The following is a 24,022-nucleotide window of genomic DNA, read 5'->3' as shown; positions in this document are numbered from 1 at the left end:
TTCTTTTGTATTGTATTTCTGCCAGGTTTTGGTATTAGAATGATGCTGGCTTCATAGAATGAGATCAGAAGGAGTCCTTCCTGCTTGATTTTTTGGAATAATTTCAGTAGCATTGGTACTAGCTCTTCTTACATGCCTGGTAGAATTTTGCTGTGAATCCATCTGGTCCAGGGCTTTTGTTGGTTGGTAGGTTTGTTTATTACTGATTCAATTTTGGAACTCGTTATTGGTCTGTTCAGGGTTTCAGTTTCTTGCTTCAATTTTGGGAGGTTGTGTGTTTCCAGGAATGTATCAGTTTCTTCTAGGTTTTCTAGTTTGTGTGCATAAAGGTGTTCATAATAGTCTCAGAGGACTTTTTGTATTTCTGTGGGGTCAGTTGTAACGTCACCTTTGTCATTTCTGATTGTGCTTATTTGGATCTTCTCTCTTTTTTCCTTTGTTAATCTAGCTAATGTTCTATCAATCTTGTTTATTCTTTCAAAGAACTATCTTTTGGTGTCATTGACCTTTTTTGTATGGAATATCACATCTCAATTTCTTTCAGTTTTGCTCTGATTTTTATTATTTCTTTTTTCTGATAACTTTGGGATTGGTTGGCTTTTGTTTTTCTAGTTCTTCCAGATGCAATGTTAGGTTGTTAATTTAAGATCTTTCTGAATTCTTGATGTAGGTGTTTAGCACTATAAACTTTCCTCTTAACATTGCTTTAGCTGTGTCCCAAAAATTCTGGTGTGTTGTGTCTCTGTTTTCATTAGTTTTAAAGAATTTTTTGATTTCTGCCTTAATTTCATTCTTTACCCAAAACTCATTCAGGAGCAAGTTGTTTAATTTCTATGTAATTGTATAGTTTTGAGAGGTCTTCTTGGTATTGATTTATATTTTTATTGTACTGTGGTCTGAGAGTGTGATTGGTGTGATTTCATTTTTTTTGAATTTGTTGAGACTAGCTTTATAGCTGAACATGTGGTCAGTCTTAGAGTAAGTGCTGTTTACACATGAGAAGAATGTATATTCTGTTGTTGGATGGAGTATTCTGTAGATGTCTATTAGGTCCAATTGGTCAAGTGTCAAGTTTAAGTCCAGAATATCTTTATTAGCTTTCAGCTTTGATGATTTGTCTAGCACTGTCAGTGGGGTGTTGAAGTCTCCCACTATTATTGTGTGGTTATCTAAGTCTCTTCTTGGGTCTCTAAGAACTTGTTTTATTAGTCTAGGTGCCCCAATATTGCGTGCATATATATTTAGGATAGTTAAGTCTTTTTGTTAAATTGAACCCTTTATCATTGTATAATGCCCTTCTTTGTCCTTTTTGATAATTATTGATTTAAATTCTGTTTTATATGACACAAGAATAGCAACTCCTGCTCTTTTTTGTTTGTCATTTGCATGATAGATCTTTCTCCATCCCTTTACTTTGAGCCATTACGTGTGAGATGGATATCCTGAAGACAGCAAACAGTTGGGTCTTGCTTCTTTATCCACCTTGCCACTCTATGCCTTTTAAGTGAGGTATTTAGCCCATTTGCATTCAATTAATATTGATATGTGAGGATTTGATCCTGTCATCATGTTGTTAGCTGGTTGTTGTTTAGATGTGATCGTGTAGTTGCTTTATAGTGCTGGTGGCTATGTACTTAAGTGTGTTTTTTTATGGTGACAGGTATCTTTCTTTCATTTCCATACTTAGCATTCCTTTAAGGACCTCTGGCAGGTCTAGTGGTAACAAATTCCCTTAGCATTTGCTTGTCTGAAAAGGATTTTATTTTTTCCTTTGCTTATGAAGCTTAGTTTGGCAGGATAAGAAATTTTTAGTTGGAATTTATTTTCTTTAAGAATGCTGAAAATATGCCCCCAATCTCATCTGGCTTGTAAGATTTCTGCTGAAAGGTCCACTGTTAGCCTGATGGGGTTCCCTTTGCAAGTGACCTGCCCTTTCTGTCTAGCTGCCTTTAATTTTTTTCTTTTATATTATTTTGGAGAATCTGATGATCATGTGTCTTGGGAATGGTTGTCTTGCATAGTGTCTTGCAGGAGTTCTGTGAATTCCTTAAATTTACGTGTTAACCTCTTTAGCAAGATTGGGGAAATTTTGTGGACTATATCCTCAAATATGCTTTCTAAGTTGCTTACTCTTTCTCCTTCTCTTTGAGAAATGTCAGTAGGTTTGGTCTCTACATAGTCCCATGTTTCTTAGAGGTTTTTGTTCCTTTTTAAAAATGCTTTTTTTCTTTATTTTTGTCTGCTTACATTGACTCAAAGGAGGAGTCTTCAAGTTCTGAGATTCTTCCCTCAGCTTGATCTATTCTGTTGTTAATACTTCCATTTGTATTATGAAATTCTTGTGGTGAATTTTTCAATTCTAGAAATTCAGTTTGGTTCTTTCTTAAGGTGGCTATGCCATCTTTCAATGATTGGATCATTTTGCTGTTTTCTTGGAACGAGGTTTAACCTTCTCCTGTGTTTCATTGAGCTTCCTTGCCATCCAAATTCTAAATTCTGTGTTTGTCATTTCAGCCTTTTCAATCTGTTTAAAAATCATTCCTGGAAGCTAGCCTGGTCATTTGGAGGTAAAAAGACACTCTGGCTTTTAAAGTTGCCAGAGTTCTTGTGCTGGTTCTTTCTCATCTGTGAGAGCTGGTGTTCCTTTATCCTTTGAAGTTGCTTTCCTTTGGAGAGGGCTTTTCATTTATATGTTATTTACCTGGAAGGTTTGACTGTGGAATAAGTTGGGTATAGTTGATTGGCTTCATTTCTGGATGCTTTCAGAGGACCAAGGCTCAGCTTGGCACTCCTGGGCTATGTGCTCTAACCCAGCAGGGCTGGGACCAGGCCCACAGCTTTGTCTTCTCGCTTCTCAAAGTTGAGCACTGGCTGAGTTTGGGGGGGTTGGGGGAGACAAGGTTCTCCCAAGCTGCTAGCAAAATTGCTCCACTGGGGGTAGTGGCAAAAGTGCCCCATTGGGGTGGCAGGGGCTGCTGGTGAAAGTGTTCCAGCAGGGCCGTGTGGGGAGCCAGTGAAAGTGCTCTGGCAGAGCAGTGGAGGCTGTGCTGTGTGCCTGCTCCCATGGGAGGGGCTCCCAGGCAGGGACCCTGGGAGGGGCTGGTGGATAGGGAGTGCACAGATCAGACTCGCCCCAGTCCTGTGGGAAAGATGGCCTTGCTGTCTTCAGGTCCAACAAATAACAAAGGTCAGAGGCACTTAAAGGAATAAGGAGAGCCTTGGGGGATGGGCATCTCTGGCTGTGTTCCTTTGCCTCTGTCCCCATGCCAAACTCGCTGGGCTCCAAAGAGACTCAGGATCTGTTTCTGCCAACTCTGCAGGCAACCCCCATGCCAACTTAAATGTCCATGATGATGTGGGATCTACTGTAGCTAGGACCCTGCAGGTCTGTGGTGAGAGTGGGCTGCCCTGCAGTTATTTCACTTACTGTTTCCTTGGGAGCCATTTAGTGCCAGGAACAAGCCCCAGCACTCAGCAACCCTGCAAGGGTTCTCAGCTTCCTCCCGCTTCAGCCCCATTGTCTCCATCATTTCTTCATCTGCTCTCAGTGCTTCCTCTCAGAAGATCTGTTCAGAGTATGCTTGTCTGCTTGATATTCTGATCTCTCTCAGGAGGAGAAGCTCTTCCTGGCTCTATCTAGTCAGTCATCTTGTCTACCTTCTTAATTTTAGATGTTCTAGTGGATGTACAATGGGTATCTCATTGTGGTTTTAATTTGCATATCCTTAATGACTAATGACATTGAACACTCTTTTATGTTCTTATTGCCATCCGTATGTATTCTTTGATGAAATACCTATTCAAGTCTTTTGCACATTTTAAAATTATACTGTATGTCTTATTATTGAGTTGTGAGTATACTTTATATATTCTAGATCCCGGTGTTTTGTCAGATATGTTTGGCTACTATTTTCTCTCAGTGTGTTGCTTATCTTTTCATTTTTGAAATAGTAGGTTTTGAAGAGTGTCTTTGTCTATTTGGGATGCCATAACAAAATGCCTTAGATTGGGTAATTTAAAAACAACAGACATTTCTGGAGTCTGGGAAGTCCAAAATCAAGGTGCCGGGAGATTTGGTGTCTGGTGAGGGCTCTCTCTGTGCTTCATAGATGGCATCTTCTTGCTGCATCCTCAGAGGGCAAAAGGGGCAAGGCAGCTCTCTGGGCTCTTTTTTTCTTTTTCTTTTTCATCCAAAGGATTATGTGAGGAGGGCCATTTTCATAAGGGCACTAACCCCCACTCATGAGAGCTCCACCCTCATGACCTAATGACTTCCCAAAGGCCCACCTTCTAATGCTATCACCTTGGTAATTGGGATTCAACATATACATTTGGGGGGACATAGATATTCATTCAGACTATAGCAAAGAGAAAATGGTGTTAATTTTGGTGGTGTCTAATGTGTTGATTTTTACCTTTATAGCTTGTACTATTGTGTGTCCTATTTAAGAATGTTTGCTAAACCCAAAGCAACAAAGATTTTCTCCTATATTTTCTTCCATACGTTTTTAAAGTTTGAGCTCTTAAATATTGATGTATGATCCATTTTGAGTTACTTTTACATGCGATGTGAGGTATGGATTCAATTTCATTTTTTAAATGTGATTCTCTAGTTGTGGCATTTTGAATAGTTTTGTATCATCCATTAGTACTCATACTAGGATGAACTTGATATCTCTGTTGTGCCATTGACTAATTGTGTGACCTTTGACAAGTCACTTTGACTTTCTGAATATCTCAATTTAAAAATCTGTAAAATAGGGATAATAGCTATTGGCTCTATTTATCTGACAGGGTAGTTACAAAGATCAATTTGAGATAAGTAATATCATTTATGATTTTTTTTCTCTGAACAGTTGGGAACTTGGGAGTCAATTCCTCCCTTCCCATCACCCCCACACTCAGGCACCTCTTAGAGATGTCTTGGATCTTTTGTCTCCTCACTGCTTCTACCCCTACTGTCCTGGTTCAGAGCAGACTCTTCTCTCACCTATACTGTTGCAAAATCCTACTAACTTATTTGCTGCTTCCAGGGTCTTGTTGTCTTCAGACCTAACCTCTCTGCTGACCCCAGGGTGACCCATCAAACCTTATTGGTCATATTCTCTTCAGCTTACCCTGTATCATCTGCAGGGTCAAGTCCAAGCTGTAGATCTTGTGTCCAGGCCATTCATGCTGTAGCTCTGCCTCACCTCAAGCCTCATCTCTCACTGCTCTCAGCCTGGCATTTTACCTGCCAAAACACACTCCCTCCACACTCCCTGAGCAGGTACGCATGCACGCATGCACACACACACGCTCACACACACACACACGCATGCATGCACAAGCACACACCCATGCCATTGTTCACCTCTATCAATCTTGACTCCAACTATGAGATTTGCTACTTCTCTGTGTTCCCAACATTCTATGGACCTTCCTCCATGCCCACAGCACCACGCTGCCTTTACCACATTGCATTATAAGTACCTACTTGTGTCTCTCACAATAGAATGTAAGTGACTCAAGGGGAGGACTATTGTTTTATTCATTTTTAATCCTTGACATCCAACATAGAGTCCTGCTCAGAGTAGAACCAAGAGTTGTTTGAAGATCTAAACATGATACCAGGAAAGGGATGACTATTATTATGAAGAATTACAGCAGTTTGGTGCAGAAATGGCTCTTAGAAATCATTCAGTAGTGTGACTATGGAACTGTCCTTACTCTTTGAAATACACACTGAAATATTTAGGAGAAAGTGGCATGACATGCACAACCTACTCTCAAATAGTTCAGAAATAATCAAAGTTAATCATAAAGCACATGTGGCAAAATGTTTAAAATGGATGACTCTATATAGAAGATACCCAGGAGTCCACTGTACCGTTCTTGCAAGCCTTTCTGTCAGTTTGAAAGTATTTTAAAATAGAATCAGGCTGGACATGGTGGCTCACACCTGTAATCCCAGAACTTTGGGAGGCCAAGGTGGACGGATTGCTTGAGCCAGGGGTTTGAGACCAGCCTGGACAACATGGAAAAAACCCATCTCTACAAAAAATATAAGAATTAGCTGGGCATGATGGTGTGTGCCTGTGGTCCCAGCTACTCAGGAGGCTGAGGTGGGAGGATCACCTGAGCCCAGAAGGTTGAGGCTTCAGTGAGACATGATCGCACCACCGCATTCCAGCCTGGGTGACAGAGTGAGAACTTTTCTCAACAAAAAACAAAAAACACAAATAAAAATAAAATCATTTAAAAAAATCACCTTTGGATTCATTAAATAAATGACGCTCTGCCCATACAAGGGCATATTCAGCAGTCATGATAAGAAATATATTTACTGGCATGGAAACGAATTCATGATATGTAATTGATCAAAGAAAGCAAGTTTCAGTATGATCTTGGTTTCATTAGAACAAAACAAAAATCTCCTCTCCTAAAAAAGTCTGGAAAGATGTATATACCAAAATGTTAATTCTGGTTATTTCTGACTTACGGAATAAAGGGTGACTTAAATTTTCTTCTTTTTACCTATACGTTCTACCTTTCTACAGTGTGCATGCATTAATTGTGTAAAAAAAGTTAATTATTTAAAAAACATGAAGAAACAAATGATAAACAAGCTTTAAAGCCACCCAAATGCTTGGACTGATGTTGGGATCCTCTTAGCTGGAGTACCTGCCTTATTTAGTAACCTCTTTCTGAGGCAGAGATTCAAGTTCTTTCAACTTCCCAAATCACACCGTGGTGATTTCAAGAAAGAAAAACTCTTCATGTTCCATCCTCTGTTTCCTCCAATTTTGCTTTCTTCAGAGAGTTATTTCTAGCATATTTGATATTCTAAATTGTTCTCCAGGGATTTTAAGTATTTTCTGACACTGGTGATTTGAAATAGAGTTTTACATTACTGCTGCGCACATTCTCCTAGACTTGTCCATAACGAATTGCAAGATGCTGGACATTGGGGACTTCGTTGAGTGCTGTGGGTGTGGGAAGCATCACCACACTCTTCTGAGCTTCCATTCTCACTGATTCACAACAGGTGCCCAGGAATGATTACTGTATCCCTAATCTGCTTAATTTTGAGGCTTGAACTATCCAGTAATCATGTTTCAGAGATGCTTTCTTAGAAATCTGTTGCTGAGTGGGCAAATCTAGCAAAGGCAAAAAGCACAACAGTTGTGATATCATTAGTGTGTAGATTCAATTTTTATCTAATCTAGTCTCTCTTTCAGAGCCATCTTTAATGGTTGATTCCACTTCTTGATGTCTGAAAAAGCAGATCATTATCTACCACATTTACCCTTTAAGATTGTATTTTCCTGTTAATTGAGCATAATGTCACGGTCTTCTTATTTTTACTCAAAATGTTTTAATGCATTTGTTTCACATCCATCATTTTTTTTGTCTTGAATTTTTCATTAGTTCCTTTAACATTCAATTTCTGAACACTGATTTAGAATTTTTTGCTTGTTATATATTGTGCTTCTTGAGACATGTTGGATTTTCTTGTCATTTTGACACTCATTTACCACAATGAACTTCCTGTGAGAACACTGTGGCAAAGAAATTGTTCTCTCTGACAGTAGATGATTTTCATTATTTTTATTTTCCTCACTTTGGGAGCCCAATGCATGCACATTGAAATGTGAAGTAGCAGTGATCTGCAGCCAAGTGGGTCTAGGCTTTTTCCTAATTTGAACTCTTGCCAGCTCGTTATATTTGCTTCTTAGATTTAGAGCTAGGCAACTTTGTTTGGAAATATCATTTTTAATATTAGTATATTGCCAAGTGGCAAGATAAACATAGCATGGGGTAAAGGCTTATTTTGATATTTGCTCAACCTCGCATCTTGCTAGAGTTGAGTTCTGAGAAATTTTTCTTATTACCTACAGCATTTGTCCTTTAAAATAAAGCCAAATATACTAAGAAGCAACATAAAGCTAAACAAAGGAAAAACTCAGTATTCTCCAGGTCATGGTTCTTCAAAATATGAGATTGTCAGAAAACATTCCTTCCCATTTTTGTCTTACCTCCAATATTTTTGGAAGCAAAACAGTTTATATGTTTCAAATAAATTTATTTATCTATGGGGTCATCTCCTCTAGGTTTGGAAGTACTTGAAAAACCTAGACCTAAAGTTATACGTAAATAGAAAATGGGACCAGTTCACAGGTATAGCCATGCAGAATAATAGGTAACTGAGGCAGAAATCTACCCAGGGAGTATGGTGTTTCTTTATGGTGAAGAACCCTAAGTTTCATCAATAACCTCAAAGCCTGGAAGGAGTTGGTGGAGGCACCTGGTTTTGCTATAGGTGCCATTGCTACCAAATACTGACCTTGGTGAGAGCTGGAAGCCAGTAAGCCAGGAAAGGTCCAGGTATCTGTCCTTTAAGCCCTTCCCTGAATATCTCTGGAAGCCACAACTTTCATTTCCATTGTTGCCACTCAGCTCAGTTCTCAATATTTCAATAGTCTCCTAACAGGTGTCTCTGCCCCTACATATGACTTCACTAATCCATTTCCTAGAGTGCTGATCTTGAAATAAAAAGATGGTCATGCCACTCCCTCCCCAGAACAGAATAGCTTCCCGCTGTCTTAGGATAAAATCCAGTTCCTATGTGATTTGGCCCAGCCACCTGCTCCTGCCTCATCTGCTATCTTGCTCCCTTCCAGTCCTGTGGTCTAGCCACAGGGCCTCACTGGTTTCGGTTTCTCAGAAGCTCTTTGCTCCCACCTACCTCTGTCTAGGTTAGGCTCTTTTGTTATTGCATTTCATACAACCATATACAGTTGTCCCTCAGTTTCAGCAGCGGATTGGTTCCAGGATGCCCTGTGGACACCAAAATCCAAGGGCGCTCAAGTGCCTGATATAAAATGCCACAGTATTTGCATATAACCTATGCAGATCCTCGTGTGTATTTTAAATCATCCCTAGGTTACTTATCATACCTAATATAATGTAAATGCTACAAAAATAATTATACTGTTTTTAAAAATTTTTATTATTTTAATTTTTTTCTTCTTTTTTTTTTCCTGGATATATTCTATTTGAAGTTGGTTGAATCTGAAGATGCAGAAATGGCAGATACGGAGAGCCAAATGTATATAAACTTCCTGCAGAACACTCACATTTAATTTGTGATGGAGTATTCAATATTGTCTCTCTTTGATTAGTGTAGGGTCAAGAGAAGAGAACCTTTTATCATGGTGGTATCACCAGCACCAAACCCAAGGATAATGTTAATGTATTAGTCCATTTTGCATTGCTCTAAAGGAATACCTGAGACTGGGTAATTTTTTAAATAAAAGAGGTTTATTTGGCTCATGGTTTTGCAGGCTGTACAAGAAGCATGGTGCCAGCATCTGCTTCTGGTGAGGATCTCAGGAAACTTTCATTCATGGTGGAAGGTGAAGGGGAAGCAGGCATCACATGGCAAGAGAGGGAGCAAGAAGATAGAGCAAGAGGTGCCAGGCTCTTTAAACAACCAGCTTTCGTGTGAACTAATAGACTGAGAACTCACTCATTACTGTGGGAAATTCATGAGGGATCCGCCTCATGACCCAGACACCTCCCATTAAGCCCAGTCTCCAACTTTGGGGGTCACATTTCAGCGTGATATTTGGAGGGGACAGACATCCAAACTACATCAGTTAAAATGGTAAAATTTAAGTCGAAGTCTAGATTGATTTACCAGTTTCTGTTGAGGAGTTGAGGAGATCTTAGCTCCACTAATTGATTATGCTTGAATCATTGCCACCAAGAGACCAAGCAAGATTTCTGTTGTACCTCTTGAGTAAATTCCTGTTATGACAATGCAGTAAAAATTAGTTACGTTCTATAATATTTACTATGCAAATTTCATTGGCTTAATCTTCCTCTGGCTCAATGGCTGAACAGGTCCTCTCTCCCCTTTGAAGCATCCCTCAGCTTTTCCTGGAGGTTTCTACAGTGTAACAGTTGCCACCTCTCATCCCTCTGGGTCTTTCCCTCTTGCCCGGCTCCCTGGTTTTGATGTCTGTGACACTGGACACCACCTGAAGGAATAACACAGTGGCCTTCATTGACAATCACCACTATCCACACCCTAGGTGGTTACCAGGGTCCTGATATAAGCAGTCTTCTTAAATAAGGGAAAAGTCTGGCCCAAAGGTAAATGTAGGTCTCCACCCATAGAGACCAAAACCATTTGCAAATTTTGAAAAACAAGCAAACGACAACAATAACCACAAAAATCTTTAGGGTCCAGAAATTAGCCAGGACATAAAAAATATGCATTGTCTTATTTCATTGCCACAAAAATCCAATCAAGTCTGTGTTATTATTTCCATTTTACAGATAAGAAAAACTGGCCGAGCACGGTGGCTCAAGCTTGTAATCCTAGCACTTTGGGAGGCTAAGGCAGGTGGATCACCTGAGGTCAGGAGTTCAAGACCAGCCTGGCCAACATGGCGAAACCTCATCTCTACTAAAAATACAAAGATTAGCCAGGCGTGGTGGCAGGCACCTGTAATCCCAGCTACTTGGGAGGCTCAGGCAGGAGAATCGCTTGAACCCAAGGGGTGGAGGTTAGAGTGAGCTGAGATTGCGCAACTTTACTCCAGCCTGGGCAAAAGAGCAAAACTCCGTCTCAAAAAAGAAAAGAAAAAAGAAAAGAAAAAAGGAAAAAAAAAAGAGATAAGAAAAACTGAGGCTCTGGGACATTGAGTGACTTATTGAGATCACACAGCAGCAGGGCCATGAATCAAATTCAGATCTAATGACCTTAATTAAGCTTTTAGACAGTATTCTGTACTGCATGATGACAGTAATAGAAATGGTTGGTATGTCATTTATTTCTATTAGTCTTCCTGGGCCCTATATACCTGAATAATTCTGTGATGACAATATTAAAATAGGCTTGATTGAAGATAAATTATTTTCATAAAGATACACAGAGTACATTCTTAAGTGCTAGTTTCATCTTAATCTTTTAAATTTATACGTGTTCCCATTTAAGGTATTTTCTATTTCTTTTTATTTTTTTTCTTTAAAGAACTTTTTTTAGAGACAATGTTTCATTGTGTCATCCAGGCTTGAGTGCAGTGACACAATCATGACTCACTGCAGCCTTGAACTCCTGGGCTCAAGTGATCCTCCCACCTCAGCCTCTCAAAGCGCTGGGATTACAGGCATGAGCCACCATACCCAGCCTCTATTTCTTAATGTGGGTATTTATCCTTGTAACCACATAATCTGCTACCACCACACAGTCAGAGGCTTCTTTGTGTGGGGTCCCAAGGCCTGAATTGCCCTTCAGCTGCCCGTGCGATGCTCCTTGAGGACTCTGCACAGTCTCAGGTTCATGTGGCCAAGCCCGTGTTTATTCTGATTTGAGGGGAGTGTGGGAGTGGACTTCCTGCCAGAATCCTGCCCTGATATTCCAGGTAACTGACCACAAGCCATGGCCCTTTCTATGCTATTTATAGTGAGTGACAAAAATAGCCTCACCCCTCTGAAAGGCATACCTGTGCCATCTGCCCACTGGCTTCCTACAACCTGACAGGCACTTTCTCTCCTGACCTCAGGAGGAGGCAGGACTGTGTCCTCACACAGACCCAGGAGCACTGGGTCCCTCATGTGCACACTTCCTGCTCCAGAGGGACCCAGGGCTTCAGAAGGCACCAAAGCAGGGCTTCAGCTCAGGGGTCCAGGCAGAACCTAGTTATGGATGCAAGGAAGGAGGCGGGAACTTGGGGAAAGGGGAGAAGATAAGACCAAGTCCCATTGTTGGAGCTAGATACAAAGTCAGGCTGGGATCATGGGCACTGCTGGTCTGATTCTGAGCCATGGTTGCCTCGGAGACTCATTGGTCCTCAAGTTTGGGCTGGGGTTGAGTCTGGGGGTGGGAAGGTTAATGAACCCAGCTGAAGGGGCTGGCAGGAGATCCAGAGCGTAGACCTCACCTGTCTTTCTCTCTTTTTCTTTCTCTTTTTCTTTTTCTCTCTCTCTTCTTTCCCTCCCTCCCTCCCTCCTTTCCTTCCTTCCTTTCTTTCTTCCTTCCTTCCTTCCTTCCTTCCTTCCTTCCTTCCTTCCTTCCTTCCTTCCTTTCTGCCTTCCTTCCTTCCTTCTTTCCTTCCTTCCTTCTTTCCTTCCTTCGATAGAGTCTTGCTCAGTCACCCTGGCTAGAGCTCAGTGGGGTGATCATAGCTTACTGCAACCTTCAACTCGTGGGCTCAAGTGATCCTCCTGCTTCAGCCTCCTGAGTAGCTGGGACTACAGGCACATGCTAGGCTAATTTTTAAATTTTTTTTGTAGAGATGGGGTCTCGCCCTGTTGCTCAGGCTGGTCTCAAACTCCTGGGCTCAAGCTACTCTCCCACCTCGGCCTCCCAAAGTGCTGGGATTATAGATGTGAATCACTATGGTGGGCCCCAATCCTGCCCCTTTCTGGCTGTGTGACTGTGAGCAACTGATTTCATCTCTCTAAGCTGTTTCCCTATCTGAGGGGGTAGCGCTAGACAAGAATGTCTTATGCTCATGTGTGTACATCAGAATCACCTGGGGAGGTTGTAAAAATAAGGATGCCTGGACCCCTCCATGTGGGTTGATTCTGAAGGCCTGGGAGGATGATGCTGGGATCTGTAGGTTTGCCTGTTTCCCTAGGAGATTCTGATCCATGTCAGTGTAGAAAGCCCCTGTCCCAGATGATCCCCAAGGCATCTGTCTTTCAACCCTAACATTCCCTTATTCTAGCGTACACTAAATCAGGGATAAGAAAGCATGAAGATAAGAATTCGCTTCCTATGACAATTAGGCAGCATCAGAATCAGACACTTTATCAGTCACTTGTTATATCCCAGGAAACCCACTGGGAACTTATATTCAGAGCCAATTTTCTGTGTAGAAGGCTGAAACTCTGGCCTCAAGTTCATCATCCCCTCCTATCTTCTCTCCTGGGCAGTGTCTTTCTCCCTCATGGTTTGATGGCCATCTATCTCAGAAGTCACAAACTGGAGGCTCACAAGGCAAACCACAAGGCCCACAGGGCAGGCCACACTGAGTTTTATTCACTCTGCCCAGTATTTTTTAAAGTCTGAATCTGTCTGGTGTCTGGTGTCAGACTGGTATTTGCTGGCCAGTGCACCACAGGCCCACCACAACAACTGGGTCACACCCAGCCAGCTTCAACTCTTTACATTGCCTGTCCGGACCCTGAGTTTAGACCTAATTCAGTCTCTCAACTCCCGTCTCCAGCCCAAACCTCTCTTCTGATCTTCAGGCCCATCTATCCAATTACCTCCTGGTGAGATCATCCAGTTTGTGTGCTTAAAGGAAGGCCTGGCCTGTAGTACATATAGTACAGGGCTAAATAAATGTGAGTTAGTGACATTATTATTCCTGATGCTCACCTCTTCTTAGAATCTCACAGGCACCCAGCTCAGCCTCTTCAAAATGTCACTTCATTTTTTTTTTTTTTTTTTGAGACAGGGTCTCTCTGTATCACCTAGGCTGGAGTCCAGTGGCACAATCACAGCTCACTGCCTCCTTGACCTCCCAGGCTCAATTGATCCTCCCACCTCAGCCTCCCAAGTAACTGGGACTACCCAGCTAATTTCTGGTTGTTTTTTTTTTGTAGAGACAGATCTCGTCATGTTGCCCAGGCTGGTCTCGAACTCCTGGGCTCAAGCCATCTGCCCAAAGTGCTTGGCCCTCTGCTCAAAGCCACTGTGCCCAGCCAAAAGTTCACTTCAACTTGACTCCCTCCTCATCTTCACCCCAAGCCTCCCCTCCACCAATGAAATCATCAGCAAGATGCCTGAGACCGGAAGTCATCCTGGGCTCCTTCCTCTCCTTCACTCTAGTGTATCCCCAGACCTTCTGTAAAATCTCGCCTGAATCCATCCAGTTTTTTCCATCTCTTCTAGTCCAAGCCACCATTGTCTTTGCCAGGACTGTGGTAGAGGCCTAACTGCTCTCCCTGCAGATATTGCTGTTTCTATTGTAACCCACTGTTCAATTTGAAGCCACAGATCTTTTTACTAAACATAATCATTTAGTTTACTAAACAGACCATTTTACTAAACTGGATCTTGCTCTCCCATGCATACAACCCATTTATTGACTTCCCATTGCCCCAGGATAAAATCCAAATTCTTTAACAGATCCTTCCCAGCCTGGCTCCTGGGAAGGATCTCAACGTTTTTTCTAGGCAATATGTACAGAAGCCATCTGGGACTTCTGTTATCTCTGGGATGTGCCACAGTCTCTCTCTGGCCTCTGGGCCCTCACACGCATTTCTCTTCCAGGAAGACTCTTCCCCCTACTGTTCACTGGGATAGCTCCTACATGCTCGTCCTGTCTCAGCTTAGCTGTCCCTTCTTAGAAGGTCTGCCTGGACTTCCTAGACCAAGTCAGGCCCCTGCTAGATCCTGCAGAATCCCTGTGCTTTTCCCAGCATTGCGTTCATCACAATGCATCATAATCGCATCCAGTGATTGCTTCCTGTCTAGACGAAGGCTATATGTGGGCAGAGATCTTTACCACCTAGCTTGTTCACTGCTGTCTCTTCCATGCCCACCACATGCTTGGAATGTAGTAGGTGCACAATAAATGTTTGTGGAGGAAAGGAAGAAAAGGAGACGAGAAAAAGAAGAAGCAAAGAGTGGAAGGGGGCAGCCCGATTTTTCTTTCCTCTGCAAGCAGAAAGTAACACAGCTGGCATCTACTTCTTGCCAGAGGAGAAAACGGGAGCTGATGCTACCCAGATCCTTTATTGAGAACTCCTGAGGAAAGGCTGCCCAAAGATGTGTCCTCAGCATTTAACTAAGAGCAGGTGTGCAATAGAGATTTTGAATGAATTCACTCATTCTAAGAACTTACTGACCTAGACTATAACCAAATGTATAACCAGCCAGAAAAGTGTTTTTTGTATGTGTGTGTGATAAGACTTGAACAACTATTTGAATTTTTAAAAGTAGACACATATATATAAACTTTAATAAAAATTAAAACCTAAAAGAAAAGAATCAAGGGGGAACATTCTCACTCAGGAGCCTATTGTTACTGCCAACCAAATCAGGGCATGAACTTCCAAACATGGGGCATATTGCCTAAATGCGATGACACTGTTTCAAAGTCCCGGAACCACTTAAAAAAATGCAGTTCATCCACTAGACTGAAATGTAGATTTTGTTTTCTCCATCTAGAGATCCAGAATGGGGGAGAAAATGAGAACTTTGCATCAAGAGAGCCCAAAGTTTGGGTCCAAGTCCACCAGTTACTGCATGCATGTCTTTGGGAAACTTATTCCACCTCTTTGCTTTATTTTCTTCCCTGTAGAATGGAGAAACTGCGACCTGCTTTGCAGGGTTGTTTTGCAAACTGAGTATAAAATGTAAAGCACCTAGCACCGTCCTGACACATACCAGGTGTTCAGTAGACTGCATTGTTTAAATGCAATTCAATTATTTAAAAATATAATTGGGCTCACACAGAAAACAGGCTGCTCATGAAATATTGCTCTCCTAGTGGGAAGAGGCACGATTTCTTTACTGTCCAAGAGGAAAACAGTGGCAGAGAATAGAAAAGAAAGGTAAGGGAAATAAAAGCAAGTGATTTTGATTTTCACTGGATCTTGGAGTCATGCTGAAAATTAAGCAAGCCTTTTCTTTTCACCTTTCCCCTTTCCCTCTGCCCTAGACTAAATGTTTGTCCCCACTCCCCATTCATAGTTGAAACCTCATCTTCAGAGGTGAGTCCTTTGGGAGATGATTAGGTTCTGAGGACAGAGCTTTTATGAGTAGAATTATTAGGTTGGTGCAAAAGTAATTGCAGTCTTTGCCATTAAAAGTAATGTATGATGAGCTGATGAGCCCAGCTTCCATGTGAATTAAAAGCAATGGCAAAAACCGCAATTACTTACGCACCAACCTAATAGCACCTTTATAAGGGATCCCAGAAAACTCTCTCACCTTCTTCTGCCATGTGAGCACTCAGTAAAAAGACAGCCATCTGTGAACCAGGAGGCAGGCACACCCCAGACACCCACCTGCTGGCGCCTTGTTCTTGACCTTCCCAGTCTCCAGAACTGCGGGAAATAAACTTCTGTTGTTGATAAGCACCCCCTGGGCTATGGTATTTTGTTACAGCAGCACTCTCACAGTACTCATGAGGAAGACTTCTAAAGCAGGGAAGTGGGGGCAGGACGTTGGCAGAAGGAAGAAGGAGCCTCATTTATCCCACTGCTCATCCCTCTAGTGCTTCTTTTAAAAAAAATTACATTCAGCCATTGAAAAAATAACATGTTCTCTTATTTCAAAGGCAAATTATGTTCATTTGGGAAGATTCAAGTAAGCAAAAAGAAGAAAAAAAATTATCCACAATTCCACTGCTAGATAACTACTGAAAACATTTTGCAGCCTAGCTTTTCAACGTTTTTTCTAGGCAATATGTACATAAACCAACATGTTCTTGTATAATGAGTGAGATCACGTGGGGTAGAACATGCTGTTCTGTAACCTGATCTTTTCCATTGAACATCTTTCCACGTCAGTCGGTGGACGTATCTCATGGCACCATGGGTGACCGTGGTGTACCCTGAGGGGGGCTGGCCACATGACACTCTTGGTGGGTGCCCTCCCTGAGCAGAAACTTGTAGCTTGTTTCTGTTTTCCCTCCATGAACAATGCATCAATGAATAACTTTGTAGTCAAACTTTATACAAGCCGTAATTCTTCCTTCACAATGAACTCTCATAGTCAATGTTAATTTTTGTCAAGAGGAGAAGACAGTAAGACAACATGTCTCGATGCTTTTTATTTCCGATTCTGTTCAGCCTCCAAATTTTATCTCAAGTGTCACCTTGTTCCTATTAGACAAACTTAAAAAGTGAACAAGACCCAGCCCCTGTTCTTTGAGATTAATATCTAGCAGCAGAAATAAGAGACACAATAACTTATCTCTAATAAATGAGTTTCCCTTCTCATTTAGCATAAAAGCACCTGACTTTTCATTGTGAGAAGCAAGAGAACAAGAGGGACGTAAGTATTAGGTTGGTGCAAAAGTCATTGTGGTTTTTGCCATTAAAAGGAATTGCATGTATTAATAATAGCCAATGTTTAATAAGAACTTACCCTGTCTAGGAACTGTTAATATATTAAATGGTATACACTCGTCATTTAATTCTCACAATCAGCCTATGAGGTAGGTTATGATGTTAGATTGTTGTAGAGACTGAGATAGACTATATTTTAAGGGATCATTCTATAGTTCATTACTAGAGATTTCTCTGAACATGCAGAGCACTGTAAAATAAAAAATAAATAAAATAAAAAGAAACAAAGGTACAGGGAAGTTAAGTAATTTGCCAAAGGTAATTTGGTTAAGTGGCAGAGCTGGGATTTGGACCAAGGTCCTTTGAGGCTAGAGCCCTCTGCTACTGAAACAGGCTGCCTTTGGGCTGGGAGACAGCATCATGGTGCCCCAGAATAAGCATTGTGATCTAATCTTCTAGGTACTGTGGCCTGAAAACTAGCTTGCAGTCATCCTCCATGCTGGGGTTCAGGGTGGCCAATTGGTGTATCTACCACACACCTATCAGGTTTCCTTAGATCCCAGTGGCTGCCTTGGTTGTGGAGAAAGTTAGTCACTCCAGTGTGCATTACCTCCTTGCTCTATTTCCACCTAAGCCCACTGAGGAGCTGCCCTCCGTAGATCACCGTGACCTCAGTGATGCCTTTTTCTTTGGCCATCCCCTGCTGGCACAGTTTGATGCTCTGTCCTGTACCACTGGTTCTTCAGTTTAAGTCTTTGTGAATCCAGCCACCGGCAAGCCAACAAGCCTTCCAGAAGACTTCCAGAGGGGCCTCCTGCAGCTGATGAGGACAGCTTCCATATGAATCACACATACTGTACATGGAATTGTGTATGTCATAAAATAAAGTTTAGGTTATTCTCTAGACAATTTCTTTTGATTCTTTTGCATATATTTTTGACCTTAAAATGACTGTCAATTCATTAATATTTTTTATAACAGAGTCATCTAGCTCCATTGATCAAGTGCCTTCTTGCATCAAGGCTTGGGGCTAAGGGCTTTCCTCTCTGAGCCCTTGCAGTCACCTTATGAGGTAGGTACTGTTCAGACCTCCCTTTTACAGAAGATGTAAACTTCAGTGCAGTAAAGCCAGCTTTCTTTACATGTTTACAACAACCAACCAATAAACCTTTGACACTTTTCTGTTAAATCCATAACCTCAATCAGTCACTCATGCCATGGATTGCAGTCTAGAGGTAACTATGAATAAAATAAATCTTTGATGCTGAAATACATAAGGACCATACTTGAGGGTCATAATAAAAATGGCTGCCATTTGCTGAATGCTGAAGACACAGAATGCTTTACGGTCATTGCTTCAATCAATCATCATGACTGTTCTATACAACAGGTGTTATTATCACCATTTTCCAGATGAGAAAGTTGAGGTTTTAAAGAAGACAGCTGAGTCAGGTTCTAGTCCAAGGTCTGTCTCCACCTCAGTGCCACAGGGAAAACCATGGGTTTAATCTCCCTGGGCCTCAGTTTCCTGATTTGGAAAACATAATCCCCAGTGACCTTTTCCATCTGGATTCTTGAATGCTTTTTGCATGTATGGAGACTCTCCATCTGCTATGGAATTGAGTTCCAAATCCCTGCCACTTATAAATATCTTTGGAATACCCTCACCATAATAAAAACAATTGCGAAGTGCTATTCCTTTGTCATTGAGGCCATTTAGTTCAACCTAGTAATAGATTGATTTGGGGGTTTTAAAAATGCTTCACAGGAATAATTCTAAAGCATGAAAAGATGATTAAACAGCAGCCTGGTGTTTGCAGGCATTGATTACCTGAACTCTGGCACTTGACCTGCTCAGGAGGGTCAACAGAGAGCAATCCTTTTATGTGTGTGTCACTTCCCAGTCCTCGAACTCCTTGCACATGCATTATCTCACCTCATTTGCAGAGCTACTCTGGGAGCTAGGTATTATGATGATGATCCCCACTTTAAAACAGAACAGGCTCTTCAGGAGGAGGGTAACCTGCCAAGATCACAGCACTTCTGAGTGGCAGAGTTAGAACTCGAATTCAACCAGGACTTTGGACCCGTCTTTCCATGCTACCAACTCTGCATCTCATCACAGTAGTCCTGAATTTTCAAATGACACCATGCCCTCCCACCAGTTTTAAAAATTGTGGTGATAGCCCTGTTGGTTCCACTAAGAGGCTCCTGAATCAGAGGCAGTATAGTGGAGTGATTAACAGAGAGACCTGTATTTGTATCCCTTATCTGCCATTTATTTATTTATTTATTTATTTATTTATTTATTTTTGACACAGAGTCTCGCACTGTCACCCACCTGGGCTGGAGTGCAGTGCCGTGATCTTGGCTCACTGAAACCTCCACCTCCTGGGTTCAAGCGATTCTCCTGCCTCAGCCTCCTGAGTAGCTGGGATTGCAGGTGTGCACCATCACGCCGGGCTAATTTTTTGTATCTTTAATAGAGATGGGGTTTCGCCATGTTGGCCAGGCTGGTCTTGAACTCCTGACCTCATGATCTGCCCACCTCAGCCTCCCAAAGAACTGGGATTGCAGGCTTGAGCCACTGCGCTCGGCCTTATCTGCCATTTCTAAGTAGGGGAACCACATGTCTCTGTTTACCCAAGACGATCCTGGTTGCCCTAGCATCATGGCAGGCCATCCCCTAATACTTGTGGGCCCCATCATGGGAATAAAAAATGGAGGTCACTCTATTATTGTTCTTCCTACCAATGGGCTCCATGTAGGTGTGTCTGTTAGTCTGTTTTTGTTGCTGTAACAAAATACCTTAGACTGGGTCATTTATAAAGAATAGAAATTTATTTCTCACAGCTTTGTAGGCTAGAAAGTGCAAGATCAGAGCCCTGGTAGGTTTGGTATCTAGTGAAGGCTTCTCCCCGCTTCCAAGATGGTGCCTTGTTGCTGGGTCCTCACATGGCAGAAGGGCAAAAAGGAGGCCTAGCTAGTTCTCTTGAGCCCTTTTATAGAGGCACTAATCCTATTCATGAGGGCCCTGCCCTCATGAACTAATCACCTCCTAAAAGCCCCACCTCTTAATACTGTGAGAGGAAAATAAAAACTTGGGATCCCAATTCGCTCTGCCACAAGGGAAAGTTAAGCCGAAAGCTGAGTCATGCAAGAAGCTCCCTTTCCTTTTGCTCCTGAGCAGATACCTACCGATAAAAGTTAAGTATTTCCACAGGTAGCTACTTTATATTCCCCTTACTGTATGTAAAGTACCGATTTACTGAGCAGGAGACGAATACATAATTCACTATTCCCCTACCTGCTCTTTTTTCCTTGCAACCTGTGGATTTCCATATCCTATCTCACTCTTTCCCCTGCAGCCTCTTTCTCCCTTTAAATATTGAAGCCCTCGAAATCATCCTTGGAGAAAAGCACAGACCACAGGCTGTTTCTTTGATTCTGTGTTTTGTTTTGTTTTTTCCTCCCAGGCATGTCCTTAACCTTGGCAAAATAAACTTCTAAATTGATTGAGACCTGACGCATACTTTTTTGTTTACAATGTCATTGCCTTGGGTCTTAAGTTTCAGCAAATGAATTTTGGGTGATTCATAGATTCAAACCATAGCAGTGTGTGTGAACACCGCAGCCTGCAGGTTTACATCAAGTCCACCCCCCAACAGCTGCCCGTTGGCCATCCTTTGGGACTAGAGGTGGGCTTACCCACCATGTTGCCTGCCCTTTGGAAGATATACCTGGGGAAGAGGCTGACCCAGGCTTTGGAAGAGACTTGGGGTCATTTGGGCAGAGAGTTCTGGAGTCATCTGGGGACTTGGAGCATGGTCTAGAAGCAGGAGGCACTGGCTCTGAATGGGCAAAATTTTTTGGCCCATGGACTTCTCAACCCTTGGGGAAGAACATAGTGAGACAAGGAGTGGAATGAGTCTTTACTAGTCCCAAAGTGAGCAGAGCAGGTTGTCCAGGATTCAGGGAGATATTGATTAAAACTCCTCCCTTTCATTGGCAAAGGTGTCCTTGTCTGGACAATCAATTATACAGTCATCTCATATGTGAGTTGGGTGGCTTTGGGCATTACTTCCCTTTCTAGTTCCCTGATTTGTAAGATGGGAATCCACTGTGGTAACCACAGATGCTGCTCACCAGTGCTTTCAGCAGTAGGATCACACTCTCCTGCTCCCTTGAAGTTAGAAGTGGCCACATGACTTGCTTTGACTGACCAATGTCAGTGAGCATGAGTGACAGGGGCCACTTTTAGGTGGCAGCAGTGGATTGCCTGTGTGGGGTCTCCAGTGGATATGGTTGCTTGTGGAGATATCTTGCTGAGACCCCACACCACAGACAACTGGCCAGGCCACAGCTGGCTTTGCAAAAGCAAAGATTATACCTCTGTTGCTTTAAACCACTGAGATGTTAGCATTGTCTGTTACTGCAACATAACCTGGCTTCTCCTCTTTCCTACAAGTACCAATCTCAAGGGCTGCTGTGAGGGTTACATGAGAAAGAAATGTATGTATGTGCTTGGTATAGTTCCTGGTACAGAGCTATTAGTGTTTATCCTAGGAGCAATGAAATGCTTAAGTGCTCACTACACAAACACCTTTGAGGTAGAAGGTAGCCAATCCTTACAGCCATTTTCTTTGATGGACTTCTGTGGGAGAATCAGACTCCATTTTCTATTTTACATGAGAAAAATTATAGAGGTACTAAAAGCACATGGGGTGGTGCGACGCATTACACCTAGGGTATGTATCCCCAGCCATGGACCCTGGGACTGACCAGAATTGAGGATGGGGATGGTTTCTTTGGAAATAGCCCCAAGTTCATGTAAATCTCATGAGTTTACTGATGACACAAGGTTTCCAGCCAGTACTCAGACTTTTAATACTTCAGTGTGAGCCAAAGTGATGAACGTTATGCCACTCATTGGTTTTTAGTGGGAATTCTAGTGCTATAAACTCATTTCAGTACTTCAGAGACAGCCAAATCTCAACTGCACGTTCTTGGAGAAACCTGAGATTTCATTATGAAAGTGACAAAATAAATCTAGAAGGAAAAAAAAAAAATCCCGTCAACCACTCACTACCTCACCCCACGAGACATTTTAGCTGAGCTGCTAACAAGCAGCCACACAGCAACTGTTTGCTGGGGACTTCTGAGAAGATACGACTCACGCATTTGCTAATAAGGGAACAACTACCATATTCCAAACAGGTGAAGAAAACCTTCAGGTATGGCAGATTTTCTAACTACATTTTTGTGACACTTTTATTCATTCGAAAACCTACAGTAAGAGACGCGGAGTGTAAAATGTGTGTTTGTGTTTTGCTTGGACAGACAATGGCTCCTAGCAATTAATGCTTTCAGTCACATTAAGCATTAAATAATGCTTTGTGACATTACAGTATTTCCCATTACAGATCAATTTTGTAGCATTTGTTCATAATCAGACTTGAAATGTTACCTAGAAACAAAATATGTTTTCCTTGAAACAGTCAGACCTTATTAGAAATCTAAGGTTTTACAAATCACCATGTTAACAGTTTTGCCCCTAGCTAAGGTTTTCATTCTTTAGTGTTAAATTCAGCCCCAGAAGCTCTAGTATCGTTCAGGGTTAGTCTTCCAATGTGCACTGACTTGAAAGGAAAAAGTTAATGCTCCAAATATATTTAATGTCTTACTACATACAATAATAAATCAACTATATTCCTTTTTGGAGGTGAAAAATAATGTCATCACCTTTTAAATTGTTATGCTTATAATTAGGTTACACAATATTATTTTCTCATTTTTTAAAAAACAGCTTCTCATTGCTTTAAAAAAAAAGCCATATGCTTATTTCTAGTAAAGCGGAGTTATTCTCATTTCCTTACCACATAATCATATGCTGTGGATGAGCAAAGAAATAAAGAGAAAACATATGAAATTTTGAGATTTGGAGCAGCAAAACTTAAAGCTAAATGGAAGAGAACTTTGGAGCCAGGAACACCTGGAGTTGATGTCTTGCCTTGCCATTTAATCATTGTGGAATCTTGGGCAAATCGCTCAAAGTTCCCATTTAGCAATTGTTAGCTATTTTAATATTTTTTACAGAATTTTTTTCCCTGAGAGATATTCCCTTTGATTAAAGCCATCAGCCTCTCATTCATTCAGCAAATAATTCCTGAGCATTTATTGCTAATAGACTCTACTGTTCGCAGTCCCGGGAAACAGCAGTAAATCAGAAAACGAGACTGCTGGTCTCATGGTTTATATTCTAGCTTGGGAGAGACAAGCAATGTCCAAACAATATAATGTCAAGTGGTGTAGTAGGTTAGCTTGAATGAAGGCCCCCCACCAAAAGATATATCCACCTGCTAACCCCCAGAACCTGTGAATGTGATCTTACTTGGAAAAAGGGATGATGTAATTATGCACCTCAAGATGAGACCATCTTAGATAATCCAAGTGGGCTCTAAATCAAATGACAAGTGTGCTTATAAAAGACACACCAAGGGGAGACACAGAGAAAGGAGAGGAAGGCCTTGTGAAGACAGAGGCAGAGATGACGCAGTGGAGTGATGTAGCCACAAGCTAAGGAACTCCAAGGAGTCACCAGAAGCTGGAAGAAGCAAGGAGGCATTTTCCCTAGTGCCTTCAGAGGCAGAGCAGCCCTGCTGACACCTTGACTTCAGACCCTGGCCTCCAGAACCGTGTAAGTTTCTGTCACTGTAAATCCCCCACTTTGTGGCAATTTGGACAGAAGGCATGGAAATGAATACAAATAGTAATGCATGCCAAGAAGAAAATAAAATGGGGATGTGAAACCGAGATTCGAGTTGGGATTACTTTAAATAGTGGGGTCTGGAAAGCCCCCCTGAGGAAGTACCATGTGTTACCCGAGGGCGTGAGAGATGGGTATTCTGAATGTGAGGGGGCAGCAAGTGCAAAGGGCCCAACCTGGGAATGACCTTGGTGTGTCTGAGGACTAGAAAGTCTCTGGGGCCAGACTATAGGC

At 41.9% G+C, this 24,022-nt stretch overlaps 1 pseudogene, besides 1 other annotated feature; it reads left to right on the top strand.

The window, feature by feature from the left end:
* Nucleotides 1-17,861, top strand: part of THEM7P (thioesterase superfamily member 7, pseudogene) — a 56,775-nt pseudogene extending 38,914 nt beyond the window's left edge.
* Nucleotides 23,646-23,915: an enhancer, noted in NCBI's record as "active region_4562". NCBI's record gives its function as "activates an Ori minimal core promoter by ATAC-STARR-seq in GM12878 lymphoblastoid cells {active_cell/tissue: GM12878}" and the evidence as "EXISTENCE:reporter gene assay evidence [ECO:0000049][PMID:35858748]".

Source organism: Homo sapiens, chromosome 11 (assembly GCF_000001405.40).
Source record: "Homo sapiens chromosome 11, GRCh38.p14 Primary Assembly".
Lineage (NCBI taxonomy): Eukaryota > Metazoa > Chordata > Mammalia > Primates > Hominidae > Homo > Homo sapiens.
This window is presented reverse-complemented; position numbering and strand designations above follow the sequence as displayed.